This window comes from Homo sapiens, chromosome 11 (assembly GCF_000001405.40).
Source record: "Homo sapiens chromosome 11, GRCh38.p14 Primary Assembly".
Taxonomy (NCBI): Eukaryota; Metazoa; Chordata; class Mammalia; order Primates; family Hominidae; genus Homo; species Homo sapiens.
In genome coordinates, this window is record NC_000011.10 from 16,232,137 (window position 1) to 16,248,816 (window position 16,680).

General features: G+C 33.1%; 1 protein-coding gene across 6 annotated transcripts in view; it reads right to left on the reverse strand.

Moving 5' to 3' along the window:
* Positions 1 to 16,680, reverse strand: part of SOX6 (SRY-box transcription factor 6) — a 772,029-nt gene that overhangs the window by 265,688 nt on the left and 489,661 nt on the right. For all 6 annotated transcript variants that reach the window (NM_001367872.1, NM_033326.3, NM_001145811.2 and 3 more), the window contains one exon: positions 2,446 to 2,535. In NM_001367872.1, coding sequence (NP_001354801.1) covers positions 2,446 to 2,535 — 90 coding nt within the window. The remainder of the gene's footprint in view (positions 1 to 2,445; positions 2,536 to 16,680) is intronic.

Below are 16,680 nucleotides of genomic sequence, written 5' to 3' on the forward strand. Positions count from 1 at the left end.
ATATAATTTAGGTCACCTTAAAATTTCAGGAAAATGAGAAGTAATTTAGGTGGATAATAACTGGCCTGGTTTCCACCAGAATAAAAATGTATGTTGAGTTTTGGTAGCAGTTTACTCAAACTATTTCAATACTATTTTAACTGATTTTTTCATTTTTAAATTAATATATTCTTGGTACATTTTCTGTAAAAGATATTAGGATGTATGAAGAGATGATAATGGAGAATAAATAAAGATAAATTTAGTAAGAATCTTATATTTTATGCCCATAAGAAACTCAGAATAACACACAAATGAAAGTTCACATATCACAAAGAATCCAGAAAAAAAGGTTAAAGAATTTGAAAAGGCTAATTTTTCATGTGATTCACTTTTGTGATTTATACATTCCAAGTATCCAAGACTAGCACATTTTTTAAATTTTGAATTCAAAATTAGACTTAAATATAAAGAAAGACGGAAAGGGGGGGAGAAAATATACCCTGAAGTACAAAAACTCCATGTTGAATTATAACATAATAAAATGTTAGTTTTCACATTACTAAGAGAAAGCAGGACCCTCATCTTTCATGCTGGAAAAAGCTTGCCTTTGTACAAACCATTTCTGTTCTCACTGTTATAAAAAGGAATGACTTTGGAAAGGGAAGAAAACACAGAATGACGTGCAAAGTAGCAAACACCATGTTATTGCAGCTGGATAGAGAATATGTCACTAATGACTTTCTTTGTATCCATCAATAAGTTGAGTTTCTTTTTTTTTCCAAGACAGCAAATGGCCTTTATGGGTACAAAACAGAAGTAGGGGAACTCAAAATAATATCCAATTTCCACTGGTTTCGATACATAATTAGTTAATGCAATGATTTATTAATTATTTGCTGGGAAAAAAGATGACTTCCTTTTCTCTTCACTTGAATTGAACATGACATGCCTGAAAACTAGGAAATTTTCTGTAGTAAATTCAAAATAACATTTACATTAGATAATTATTATCAAATTTTCATCTTAACTCAGATATTATCCATGACCAATAGGAAGATTCACCTAAAGTTGTTGGATAAATTCAGAAAACTAATGTAACTAAGTACCCAAATTGTTAGTGCAAATCACAGTGATGACTGTCCGTAAGGATTGACAAAGTTGATGCGTGATCATGAATTTCATTCATAATGCAAAAATAATAATAATACAGCACTTCTTCTCCATAAATGAATCAGCAAGAGTTTGGTTAGTAGGCAAAAAGTATAACTCTCAACTGATAAGGTAACTTACTATCTGAATGGATTGGGATAGTCCACTTCTTAACATGTCTAAAAATAATAATATCAATCACGTATATTCAAAAGTAAAGATGTTTATTCTCATCTGAGTCAGAGACCACAAAATGCTAAACCTGATGAAATTTGAGCTTTATCAACATGGGATCGTCTGTGTATATTAATAATAACCACCAAACTTAAACTCATGAGTACTTTCTTAAGTGCCAGGTACTGTTCTAAGAACTATACATGTATTAACTTCTTAATGAGCCTATGAAGGAAATACTTGTATTATCCTCATTTTATAGATGAGGATTATAAAACATAAAACAGGCCCGGTGCGGTGACTCACACCTGTAATCCTAGCAATTTGGGAGGCCAAGACAGGCAGATCACGAGGTCAAGAGATCAAGAACATCCTGGTCAGCCTGGTGAAACCCCTCTCCACTAAAAATACAAAAATTAACTGGGCGTGGTGGTGCACGCCTATAGGCCCAGCTACTCAGGGGGCTGAGGCAGGAGAATCGCTTGAACCTGGGAGGCAGAGGTTGCAGTGAGCTGAGATCACGCCACTGCACTCCAGCCTGGCAACAGAGTGAGACTGCATCTCAAAAAAAAAAAAAAAAGAAAAGAAAAGAAAGAAAAAGAAAAAAAGAAAACTTCAGTGGCTTGTCCAAAGTTACTCTGTCCAGTGACAGAGCCAGGATTTGAACCAACGTAAACAAGCTTCAGAATCCCCCAATAAACCATTATGTACAGCACATTCTATAAACATTTTTAAAGGTGCTACAGGCAACCCATTTTGATTAGAAGAAATTCAAAATAATTTGGATTCATAAATTAAGCTATTATTATAATTTTAAGAGGGAAAACTAAGACTATCTTTAGCTTAATTTGCTCATCTTTTAACATAAGGTTTTTATACTTTTTTGTGAAGTAAATTAATGAGGCAGCATATCCTATAAGTTATATGTTTATAGACTAATACAAAAAGTGGGGAAATTTTTCAGTTTGTAAACATTGCAAGGAATAAAAGCTCAGAAACCTATAATATTCACCCTCTCATGTACAATCAAATGTTACATGTAAGATTTACTGTTACAGTACAGAAGATCAGCAAATACATTGTTATACAAAATAACATCACATCACTGCATTGACATGTTCGATATATTTTATGTTGTACCTTTAATTTCTCCAAGAAGTTCACTGGTATTTAGTCTTTCCATTTTTTCCTTCCAATCTTTTGAAAGTAGTTTTTCCATGCAGGAGGAATCTATTAAAATACAAAAGTAAGTATTAAAAATATATATTTATTACAAATTTAGAAAGTCAGTTTATGGGGAAATTCTCATTTAAGAATGCATAAAGCTGTTTTTGTTGCTGTAGCTTGAACCCCAGGATATAGAAAATTACATTATTCTATAATGTGTATTATAAAATACCACCACAAAGTTTATTTTTACCAGATAATTATTTAAACTATCATCTAAGAGAAAAAAGATAATGCTCAATAATCTGTTTTAGTATTATAATTCTATTAATATTCAATCAGCATTTGTCATTTCTTAGACTGATAGTACAGAAAAGAGGGCTCTTTCCTATTAGTTTAACATTAGATACTCCTTTTAATCCAGGCAATATTTTTTAAGTCCAAGCAAAATGTATGTGCTGTGCAAGAAACAATAACAGATAATCAAGAGAGAAGAGCCCAATCAATCTGTAACCACTTAGTTCTTAAAAAAGAAATCTAACTTTTATAAAATATCCAATTAAAGCAAAACAAGAAGAAAATGAAATTAAGATGTTCTCTGACCCCTAGTAATAAAACTGCTAAAATTTTTCTCTTATGTAAAAACTGATACATATTTTTATTAAATAAATACCTATATAAATGCCATTTATTATTTGCCCCACTGTATTTCTAAATAGCATACTAAAATACAGGGAGTAATTACACTTGTTTTTATCAAGATTCATAAAGACTACAGAAATCCAAACTTTAGAATGTCTTGATAATTACCAAATTTTTCTCAATGAGTTATTTCTGCTCTCTATGCAAATGGATTTGCAACTGGTGCTACTGCTTACCACTATTTATTTGTATCTTTTAAGCCTCAAATCTTAACAAATAGGTCATGTTTCCAAAAGGGAATGCAGATTTAAATACTAAATCCTTAGTGCAAAGCATACTCCCATAAAACTTTAACATTCCAAGTGTCAAAATTCTGATAACTTCCTTTTAAAATTATATTTAAAACAGTTACTCCAATTCTAAATGCCTTTTCTCTCTCGTATCAGCACCTATCTCTTTAGTATTTTCCCTTTCATTTTTTATTTTCTCCAGCTTCTAAATCCTCCTTGAATTTTTCAGAATGACAGTAAGGTCAAGATGGATCTAAAGGGCTTTAGAAGCTAGATAAGCTTCAGAAAAAGACCATGAGCCCTGGCTAAGAGATGAGAAGACCACTGCATGGTTAGAAAGTATTGGTGAAAAAACAATTAACATTTGTCTGTGACACTATCAATCAATCAAGGAAGGGATAGAATCCAGATCAGTGTGTTGTAAAAACGGCTGATGAAGAACAACCATCCGAACTGGCTATCACAGAGCTGAAGTTCTTTCTAAATAGAAGTCAGCTTGATTTTATTAAATGAAAGCTCCTTGCCCATTCCCTTACTTCTTCCCTCCCGTTTTCCTTCCTTCCTACCTTCCTTCTTTCTTTATTCCATTATTTCCTATTATTTTCTCAGTCTTCAACAAATGATCTACTACTGTGCTTCAAAATTGGATTCTGAGTGATGTTCCAATGGAGCCTACATGCAGATGCATATGTTCGGGTTGCATTTAATTGCTTAAATAGCCTCTTACTATTTTTTATTCAAATTCAGAAATGAGATATATATTTTGTTCTATACTTATTTTGTTTTTATGCTAAAGTCATAAAAATGATAATACTAAGTTAAGAGTTAGGAAGCAATTCTTCAAATCCATGCCTGTCACAGATTGCTTTTTCTCAAATCAGGTTTGAATTTCTGAAAGAGATTGATATAACGTTAGAGTATGGATAAGAATAGTCAACAAAAAGTTTTTATTTTAATATCCTACCCAATTCTGTTTTTTTTAGCCTTTCATATGTTATATCAGTGCACTAAGCTAATAATTACTGATACAATTACAAAAGCATAACTTTTTTAGCTAAAGTTTGAGTTGAGAGCATATAGTATAGTAGTCAAAGATAAAAGCCCAATTTATTTGTAATAATAACAAATTCAGAGCAAGTCCATATACTAGGATTAAATGCATTTTAGGATGTAAAACAGGCTAAAATATGTCTCTCATTTCTATAAATAGACCTGAAATCTTTTAGAGCTCCAAGAAAAGAATGCTAAAACTTCATGGGAGAAAAAGAGAGCTATATGAACAACAGGAATACACACTTAAACCATGTGGACACAGCTTTATATAAAAGCTACTCATTAATAAAATGGCTAATAACTTCAAAGCGTTTCGCATTCCTATTAGAAAATTAATCCTTACTGCAATGCTCAGTTAATCTAGCTATATGAGTTCCCATTTCAGTAGAAGAAATTGAGGGAAAAAATAAAGCAGCCTTTGCATATCTACATTTTCAGCCATGAAAATATTTAATAGCAACCACTGATTGCCTTTATCTATAGGACAATGAAAGTTAGTACATACAAGCTTATCAATGTTTAATCTCAGGACTAGGAGATTCCAGGAAGACTCGAACCTGTAAGAAAGTCTCTTGACAAATGACTGCTTTCTACCCCATTATCTGACTGCCAAACCTCTAGAGGCATACCACAATTGGTGCTAAGCATTCTCCACGTAATAATATAAAGTAAGTAGGATGATATTTTTTCTCAGAAGTGAATTGTTACTAAGCACTCTATAAGCAGAAGACACTACTGCTACCACCAAAAGGTTCCTGATTTGAAATGAGAAAATATGTAATTGATACAAAGTTACAAATAAAATTTATGTTTTCAAATTTCTATCTCAAAACAATATCCAGGTATGGGTACAAATTAAAAGTAAGGATCCATTCCCTTTGTGCCACATTCCTCAACTACATTAATGGGACATTAGTATTACAGAGGCAATTGATCAGATCAGACTTTGACCTATTCTGATCAAGCATAAATGCAAAAATCAAAGTGGTAAAAATAAGCAAAGAAGGCCTGTTTGCATTATGTACATGGAAAGAATAAGATCACACTGAGTGGCTTTAACACAGTAATCATGTAAGATTCCAAATGGAAAAAAAGGACTGAACAGCCCCAAGACACTCTTGGATTATTTTATAAACATAAATATATTTTACAAATTAATTTGAAAACAATTAACTAATTAGTTACAATGCTGCCACCATCCTCAAAACAATTAAACAATATGCAGTAAATTTATTATCTGACTTTGACTTTTCCAAGTTTAATGTCTTTAAGTTGTCATCATCTGAAAAACAGGAGAGAAAATATATGCTTTTTGGAAATGGAAATAAAGAATCACAACATTACAGCATGAAAAATGTCACCATAATATGTACATATTTTTAAAAAATGAACGTAAGTCATAATGCTAAAGTAGCATTATGCTAAAGTCGTATTGAAATAGAAAATGCCAAAATTAATTCCTCTTACTTTGAAAGAATCTGTTTCCATTAACCAATATTTATTCAATGAAATGCAGGACTTTATCTTCTCTAATTTTTATAAATAATAATGATTAAAAGAGTACTATCAAAAATCGCGAGCTGGACTTCAGTTCTCACCTATAATTTAAGCAAGGATGTAAACGTTTTGATGTATTATAAATTATCAGTTGCATTGTTTCTGGTTTTTTCTTTCCCTTTTCAAATTAAAGCTTTTCTCTTTCAAGAAATTTGAGAGAAAAGGAAGATAGAATTCAGAACTATTTTGTTTTTAAAATATCATGCATAATAAATTACAAAGCAATGTTTCTGCTTCCTAAGTACTTAGGTTTCGGGCCAGGTAAGTCAAGAATGCTTTATCACAGCTGAGTAATGTTTTCGCTAATTAACTTAGTAATTAATTTTATGATGTAAGAAAAATGAAAAGAAAGAGTATGTGAGATATTGATTTCCTAATCTGTGTGGTGATATTTTGGGAACAATTTTAAATTACTTCTAGTCAGACAAACCTGCAGCAGTATTAACTCCCACACTGTACAAAATAAAGGTATTTCAGATAGATCAAAAATAAATAAACAAATTGTCATTAAACTTACAGCATGGGGAAGAGGAAGAGATAATGTGACAAATCTTTATTGCACTTTACAACAATCTACCTATAAGCAAACACTTATTTTCCCTTTACCTCGTGATATTTAAACTTAGAAATGCTAAAACACTAGAAACAACATAAAAAATATCTTCAAAATATTTTAGTGAGGAGAACAATTACTGCTGGCTCTATGTGCAGATTTTCTGTTGCTTATTAACACTTTGAGAAAATAGTAAAGCAATTCCTTTTATTTTTACCATAGGAATCATAAATTTCAAATGTAATAAATTTTTCTATTTACCCAAGAACAATGATAACTTATCAAAAGTATCCATGACCTTGGTTTACAATTAAATCCAGCAAAATATATTTATATCCCCACTGATTATCCATCTCACATTTTTCATTAGGAAACACAGAGTTGCACATGCCAGTTACTGTACATTTTTCCACAGTGGCAAGTGCTCCACAATACAGTGGGATAAAATTGGAACTTGGAGAGCTTGAAGAGCACTCTTAAATTTTAATTAAAACCCTCCAAGCTCACTAAAAATAATTAGACACTAAAATGTGCCAGTTTTATTTTGAAGTCACTATAACGTACAAAGCACACTCCCTGACGACTGCTCATGCTCTTCTCTCTCTCTCCCCCTCTCCCTCTCTCTCCAATGAAACAACTGATTTTCCAAATAAGAACAAGGGAGTATAAATAGAGGCTGTTTTCAGGCCTGCTCTTCACGCTGGGAAGCTGACAGAAAGACAGCGGAGTGGGTTTTTCAGACTACACCAAATAAACCTAGAATAACTTCCCTAACCAAGAGTACGAATCACTAACAAACTCTAGATAAAATCCAGTCTGCAAGTAACACCATGAGTTATATTACTGATCTTTTTTGATCCAAAAGTCAAACCTTTAACCTCTTAAATGTTTTTGCTATCTTAAAATATCTCATACAATACTATATTCCGTCCTATTTTTAGCCAAGCAGCAAGAGAAAGCATGCCTTTCCCATACAGCAGGGCAATGATATAAACATCAACACAGATGCTCTGCCAGGAGGAGCTGGACTTCTCAAGCACTTGATCATTAAGGAATGCACCAACTGTTTTGGATAATCTCGTGCCAGCTCCCCTTTTGCTCCACACTCCCCTCTGGGAGTGGCCAATCTTGTCCTGGTCCTAATTTTTCATTTTACTCCTCCATAACACCCCTCCCCCATTACCAAAAAGATGAGAAATGGCATTTATGCCTAGCAATGAAAAAGCAGGCTCACTTCCCCAAACAGACCAAAACTTTAAAACAATTAACCCTCCCCTCTTCTTTCAGATAAATTACTAAGTATAAAATGCAATCTGTTTCCTTTGTTTACTCAATATGAACAATTTGTAAATGACTCAAGGATAAAATTCAGAAAATGTTGTGCTAAATTAGAACCATTATAAACATGCTAATGACTCAATGCTTGAGTAAAACATGCATGATCGGTGTGAAAAAATAGATTTAGTTCCTGTGAAATTCTGTTGTGCTGCCTTAAAACGATTTGGTCATTAAATCAGATATATTCCTTCCAGGAAAAATGTTAATTCCAAAACCACTTTACTAGATAATATAGTGTGTGTGTGTGTGTGTGTGTGTGTGTGTGTGTGTGTGTGGCAGTGGAAGCTATTGGAAATGTAATTAGAACTGTTAGATGCAAGATTTTGGAATGCTCATAAGGAAGAAAAAGCTCCATACCACATTTGAAACCTGTACATACACATACAGACATCATCATAATCGGTACAATATTCTCTCTATACACAATTTTTATCTGCCAAATTCTTAGATATTTTTTTCATAGGCATTCCTTAAAACCAGTACTTAACATACGTCAATGAAAGTCACATTGTTCTATAGGTGCAGGTAAGAGTTATCTCTTTTATCTGCTTTCCAAGGCTGCCTAACACCTATAACAATAACAGAAATTGTTCAAAAGCAACTTCTGAAATTTCCTTCAAAGCACAACTGTTATCAATGCCAATCTAGAAAAAGAGGGAAACATACAGCGGATGATTCAGAAACCTATGGCCTGCTGCTATAACTAAAAAAGACTTCAATGATCATAAAGACCAATACCCTCATTTCAGAAATGAGAAAACAGAGTCAAGATAAGGAAGTCACCTGTCTTGCCAATGTCAAAATGTTGGTGACAGAGCCCTAACTACAGTGCAGTGCTTGTTTTGCTGACATGACTATTTAAATCATTATTTGAACATAGGTTTGATTGTCCCCACAATGTAGTATCCAAAAGTGAAAAATAAAAAAATTACTAATTATTTGCTTCAGATATGAAGTAAGACACTCTAATTCTTTGGAGAGGGGTGCAAAAAATCCTGCATATTGCAATGAAAACCAATAGTGGTCAACTGCCAGTTCTCCTATGCACACTCACTTATGCTGGTTTTCCTTTCCTCCACAATTCTTTTTCCATAATGCTTTATTTTGTTTGAATTAAAAGCTCTCCTTTTCTGAATACCATCCACTAATGAATAGGTAACAGTTTCCTAAAATTACTGTTGAACTCATAAGGTAATTCCTTCCAAGGTAAGTTTTATTTTCATCTATCAGAAGTACATGTGCAGGCTGAAGCCTTGGTTTTTCACTGTATCTTATTGCCCAGGAGGCCTTCAGATGTGCCACAATTTTAATGGAATAAAAACATTCCATTAGAAACTATGGCTGTCCATGTTGCTAAAATATTACTCATCGTGACATCTTCTCTATCCCCTATTTTCTGCTCCTGCTTTTTGGGTTCTACAACTATTTGTTTTATTTTTACTTTTTAAAATACATACTTCACTTTTTTAAAACTGTATTCTAATTTCTGTGGAGATAATAATTTCTGTATCCAGTGTGTCCTATATTCTTTATTTTGGTTTCTTTGGGAAAATATTTCTGACTGCTGTTGTCTTGATGAGAGTGGTCAATCATAGTTCTATGTTGCTTGCCTTCTACTGCTCCCCCTTGCCACACAAAGACAAATTCAATCCAATCAGAATTACTTGCTGGAACTATCTAAAGGCTCTCTCATGCTCAGGTTGGAAGCTATATGCATGTGGACAGTCATGACCATCCCACCTGGCACATAGATAGAGCCTGCCTGCAATAAGAGTGAATGAAGCCAAAAATAGAAAGAAAAGCAGAAGGAGCAGCAGTAAGAATGGATACAGAAAAAAATCTTTACCTCATGTTAGCATACTTACATCCCAAAATAGATAAAACAGAATTTTATTCCTGGGCTTTTGGTAATGTAAGCCAATACATTCCTATTAATTTGAGTTGGGTTTCTGCAAGTTGCAACTTAAAAAAATCTAAACATTATGAAAACCATAACCAAAAGTGTCATACATACACGAATGTGCTATATTCTAAATTTTAACCATCTGGAAACCACCAAAGAGTTAACTTGTACTACCACATTGAAATATTTATTATGTATACAGTCATGAGCTGCATAAAGACAAACTCCACATACAATGGTAGTCTTGCATAAGAGTATAATGTCATATATTTACTGTAACTTTTCTATGTTTAGATCCACAATTATTTATCATTGTATTACAACTGCCTACAGTGTTTAGTACAGTAACATGCTGCACAGGTTTGTAGCCTAAGATCAATAGGTTATACTATATAGCCTAGGTGTGTACTAGGCCATACCATGTAGGTTTGTGTAAGTACCCTCTATGATGTTTGCATGACAATGAAATTGCCTAAGGATGCATTTCTCTGAATGTATCCTCATTGTGAAGCGACATGTGACTGTGCTTTGAAACAAACTTCTTGCTTCATTGAAAGATATACAAAGACCTTAAGGTAAATGTTTAAAGCATTGCTACTTACAATAACTTGTCTATATAAATTAGGACTTTCTCAACATGATGCAACCAAAAGAAAACACACCAGAAATTAAGTGAAAACTGAGGCTCATTAAAAAAAAACAAAAAAAAAACCTTTCCTCTGAGATCAGCAGTCCCTAATTTCAAAGTTACGTGTTCAAAACAGCTTCACTGTTCTGATTAATTGACTTTATAGTTAATGCCATAATATTAAATTATAAAATGTTTTTACTGATAAAATATCCATTTTTATCTATTTTACTTTATATATTGGCAATCCACAAAAGATCAATTTAAAACAAGGTTATAGTCCTCAATTTGGTTTTAAGGACCCTTTATAGTTTGACCCTGCTGATTAAGTTCCTATTATTCTATTTACTTGAAACTCTTCTTTTTGTCCAAATGAGTACACCAAGCATGCCTATCTCCACTGTACATACCTGTGCTTTTTCACTTCCCCTCTTTGATCACCACATCCTCCTGACCTGAATGTCTCCCCACTTTTTGACTTACGAAAAACCCTCCTATTCTACTGTGCCTACATCAAATGCCAACTCCTCAATTATGCCTTGATTCATCACTTCAAACATAAATTCTCGTCCCCTCAAGGAAAATAATTAACACTTGCTGAGCACATATCTGTCAGGCACTGTATTTTTTATATTCTTCTCATGTATTAATCAACTAATTTAACTCTAAATTTCATGACTCCTTTTACATCTACCACCACTAGTACTTATCAATTTTTACCACCATCTGATTAATTATGTGATCAAGTTTATACCACAATACGATAACTACATATTAAGTTTCTTGATGGTCAGGGAATGTTTCTGATACCACTTTGTGTTTTTCCATAATGCTTAACCCAGAGCTCTGCACATAATAAGTGCTAAAACTAATTCCTTGATATACATAAAAAGATCAAGACTATTGTGTGTCAAGCAGCTATAAAACTAGTTTTTTTAATTAACTATATTCATATATAATTTACATATAATAAAATGCGCCCATTTAAAATATAAATTTAATAAGTTTTGACAAATTATATACTCATGTAGCTCCACCCTCCCGAAAGAAGATACAGAACATTTCTAAAAAGTTATCTTATGCTCCCTTTCCAGGCAATCATCCATGCTCCTGGACTCAGGCAACCACTGATATGATTTCTATCACTATAAAATAATTTTGCCTATTCTTGAATTTCATAAAAATGAAAGTATACAATATATTCTTTTTTGGATATGGATTCATTCACTCAGCATAAAGTTCTTGAGATTCATTCCTGTTGTAGCATGAATTAGTAGTCTGGTCCTTTTTATTAATTTCCATTTTATGAACACACCACATAATGTGTGTATAATGTGTATCTATTCATCTGTCTATGGACATGTGGGTTGTTTTCAGTTTAGATGTATTAGAAATAAAACTAATATACAAATTCATTCACAAGTCTTTTTATGAATATATATCTATTTTTCCCCCTTAAAAATTGAATTTCCTGTAAAATTGGGGAGCTATGTGCCTGACTTTATTTTTATAAACTGCCAAAAGGTTTTCCAAAGTGGTTGCACCATTTTATACTTCTACCAACAACGTATGAGTGTTCTAGTTGTTTCATATCCTCAACAATATGTCTTAGTGTTAGCACTTTAATTTTGTCACCCAGAGGATAAGAAGTGGTATTTTAATGTAGTTTTATTTGTATTTCCTTAATGACTAAGATATTGAGCATATTTTCATATGCTTTTTGACCATTCATATATATTTTGCCCATTTTTACACTGGGTTGTGAAGTCGTCTCTCAAATATATGTAATGTAAACATTTTTACCTAGTCTACAGCATGCCTTTTTGTTTTCACAAGGTGTCTTTTGAGGAGCTAGAGTTTTCACTTTAATGTGATTTGATTATCAATTTTTTAATGACTAGTATTTTCTGGATTCTCTCTATGAAATTTTTGTCTTTTCAATATCACAAAGATTTTTTTCCTATGTTTTCTTCTAGAAACTTTAGAGTTTAGTTTTATATTTAGGTCTATGATCAATTTTAATTTATTTTGTATGTATGGCATGAGGTAAAAGATAAAGTCAGTTTTCTTTCATATAAATATCCAGTTGTTCCAGCAACATTTTTCAAAAAGATTATCTTTTTCCCAATGAGTTATCTTGTCTTAACTGTTGAAAATCAAATGACTGTGTATAGAGTGTGTATGTGTGTGTGTGTTTGTGTGTGTGTTTGTAGATCTATTTCTTAATTCTTTTCTGTTCTATTAATCAATTCATTATCCTCACTATAATACCAAACTGTCTTCATTGTTGCAGCCTTACAATAAGTTTTGAAATCACGTGGAATAAGAATTTGTTCTTCTATTTCAAATTTGTTTTGGCTACGCTAGGTCCTTTGCATTTTCAGATAAATTTTAGAATTGGTTTGCCTACCAAAAAAGAAAAGACTTTCTGGAATTCTGATTGAATTTGTCTTGAATTTACAGGCAATTTTTAAGACTATATTTAATATTAGCATTTAAAGATATAAATTTCCTTCTAAGTATTACTTTAGCTGCATCCCACACATTTCGTTAGGTTGGGTTTTCATTATCATTTAGTTTAAAATACTTTACAATTTTCCTTGTTCTTTCTTCTTTGGTAAGTGGTTTATTTAGAAATATGTGGTTTAATTGCCAAATAATTTGAATTTAAAAATGTTTCATATTGTTATTGATTTGTACTTCATTTCCATGTCAGAAAATATACCCATTATAGTTTCATTCATTTTACATTTGAGATTTGTTTTATAGTCCAGCATGTGCCTTATCTTGGGGATGTTCCTTATTCCCTTGAAAATAATAATTATCCAGATGTTTTTTAGTGTAGTGTTCTAGCAACATCAGTTAGGTTAAGTTGATAATTTTGTTCAGGTCTTCTACAGTCTTACAGATTTTTCTGTCTACTTGTTTTATCATATTCTAAAAGAGGTGTGTTAAAATCACCAAGAATAATTAGATTGTGGCTGTGTCTTTTTCTTCTTTTAGTTCTGTCATTATTTTGCTTCATGTATTTTAAAGCTCTGTTATTATTAATACATGTATATATGCAGAAATATTATGTCTTCTTGGTTAATTGAACCTTTAATCATTATGAAATGTCCTTCTTTATCTCTGATAATATTCCTTCTCCTGGAGTCTACTTTTATATTAATATAGCCTTTTAAGCCTTCTTATCATTAGTGTTTTCATGGTACATCTTCAAAAAACTTTTAACATATTTACATCTTTATATTTATTATGTCTCTTGTAGTTAGCATATTAATTGGGTCTTGTTTTTTGTTAATCCAATCTGATAATCTCTGCCTTTTAAAAATTAGTATAATTAGTCCATTTAGATTTAATGTAATAACTGTTAAGTCTACCATCTTGCTATTTTTAATTTGTCCTTTGTTCCTTTGTTCCTCTTTTCTTGGCTTTTTAATTATTATTTTTTTTAGAATTCTACTTATCTCCTTTGTTGGTTTATTAACTATACCTCTTTATTTCATTATTTAAATGATTGATCCAGGGTTTATTATATGCATCTTTAACTTACAACAGTCTACCTTCAATAATATACCATTTCAAATACAATGTAAGGAACTTTAAAACACCTTTATTTTGTATTATTGCTGTCATAGGTATTAGTTCCATATGTTTTAAACCTCATTATACATGGTTATTGTTTATTCTATAGAATCAATCATATTTTAAGTAAATTAATCATTAGAAATTAAATGTCATATATTTGCCTCCAGAGTAACCATTTACAGTAACCTTCATTACTTTTTAAAATCTAAGTTTCCATCTAGTATTATTTTCTTCAGCCTGAAGAAGTTTTTTAAAATTTTTAAAATTAAAATCTGCTAGCAATAAATTGTCTGAACTTTTATTTTTCTTTAATGTCTTTATTTCACCTTCAGATGTGAATATTTTTTCTAATTATAAAATTGTAGGTTGCAATTTTTTTAGGACCTCAAAGTATGTCATTGTGATATCTAACTGAATTGTTTCTGATGTGAGGAATCATTTCTATCTTTGCTCCACTGTATATAACATATCTTTGGCTACTTCTAAGACTCTCTTTCATTTGTTTCCAGCCATTTGATTTTGATGTGCTTTGGTATACATTCTTCCCTGTGTTTATACTTCTTGGATCTAAGGGATTATATTTTTTAACAAATTTATTTATTTTTAATTTTTCATTATTATGGGCACATAATAGTTGTATATATTTACAGGTACATGTGATGTTTTGATACAAGCATGCAATGTGTAAATATCAAATCAAGGTAACTTGGGTATCCATCACCTTAAGTATTTGCCATTTCTTTGTGTTAGAAACATTCCAGTTCTATTCTTCTAGTTATTTTTAAATACATAGCAAATTATCATTAACTATAGAAACCCTCCTGTGATACCAAATACTAGCTCTTTTTCATTATATATATTTTTGTACCCATCAACTATCCCCATTTTATCCCCTGCTCCCCATTATCCTTCCCAGCTACTGGTAATCATCATTCTACTATCTATGTCCGTGAGTTCATTTGTTTTTTAAGCTCTCACATATGAGTGAGAATATGTCACAAATATCTTTCTGTGACTGGCTTATTTTTCTTAACGTAATATCCTTTTGTTGAATCCATGTTGTTGTAAACAACAAGATTTTATTCCTTTTTATCGCTGAATAATATTTATTGTGTATATGTGCCATGTACCACATTTTATATCCATTCATCTGTTGATAGACACTTAGGTTGACTCCGTATTTGGCTATTGTGAGTAGTGCTGCAATAAATATGGAAATGCAGACATCTCAATATACTGATTTCCTTTCTGTATTAGTCCATTCTCATGCTGCTGTAAAGAACTGCCCGAGACTGGGTAATTTATAAAGAAAACAGCTTTAATTGACTCACAGTTCTGCAGGGCTGGGGAGGCCTCAGGAAATTTACAATCATGGCAGAAGGGAAAGCAAACATGTCCATCTTCACATGGTGATAGGAAGGAGAAGAATGAGAACTGAGTAAAGTGGGAAGCCCCTTATAAAACCATCAGATCTTATGAGAACTTACTGTCACAAGAATAGCATGGGGTAAACCACCTACAATTACCTCCCACCAGGTCCCTTCCATGACACATGGGGACTATAAGAACTACAATTCAAGATGAGATTTGGGTGGGGAAACAGCCAAACCATATCATTTTGCCCCTGGTCCCTCCCAAATTTCATGTCCTCACATTTCAAAACACAACAATGCCCTTCCCACAGTCCCCAAAGTCTTAACTCATTTCACCATTAACTCAAAAGTCTAAGTCCAAAATCTCATCTGAGACAAGGCAAGACCCTTCTGCCTATGAGCCTGTAAAATCAAAAGCAAGTTAGTTACTTCCTAGATAAAATAGGGGTACAGACATTGGGTAAATACACCCATTCCAAATGGGAGAAATTGGCCAAAACAAAGGGGTTACAGGCCCCACGCAAGTCTGAAATCCAATAAGGCAGTCATTAAACCTTAAAGTTCCAAAATGACCTCCTTTGACTCCATGTCTCACATCCAGGTCATGCAGATACAAAAGGTGGGCTTCCATGGCCTTGGACAACTCTGCCTCTGTGGCTTTGCAAGGTAAAGCCCAACCCCTGGCTGCTTTCAGTGGCTGGCATTGAGTGTCTGTGGCTTTACCAGGCACACAGTGCAAGCTGTCGGTGGATCTACCATTTTGGGTCTGGAGAATGGTGGCCCTCTTCTCACAGCTCTACTAGGCAGTGCCCCAGTGGGGACTCTGTGTAGGGGTTCCAATCCCACATTTTCCTTCCACACTGCCCTATCAGAGGTTCTCCATGACAGCTCCACCTCTGCAGCAAACTTCTACCTGGACATCCTGGTGTTTCCATACATCCTCTGAAATCTAGGCAAAGGTTCCAAAACCTCAATTCTTGACTACTGTGCACCCTCAGATCCTACCCCTCGTGAAAGTTGCCAAGGCTTGGGCCTTGCACCCTCTGAAGCAACAGCCTGAGCTGTACTTTTGCCCCTTGTAGCCACAGCAGGAGCTGAAGCATCTGGAATGCAAGGCATCATATCCCAAAGCTACACAGTGCAGGGGGGCCTTGGGCCTGGCCCACAGAACCATTTTTCCCTCCTAGGCCTTTTGGCCTGTAATGGGAGGGGCTGCTGTGAAGGTCTCTGACATGCTCTGGAGACATTTTCCCCATTGTCTTAGTGACTAACACTTGGCTCCA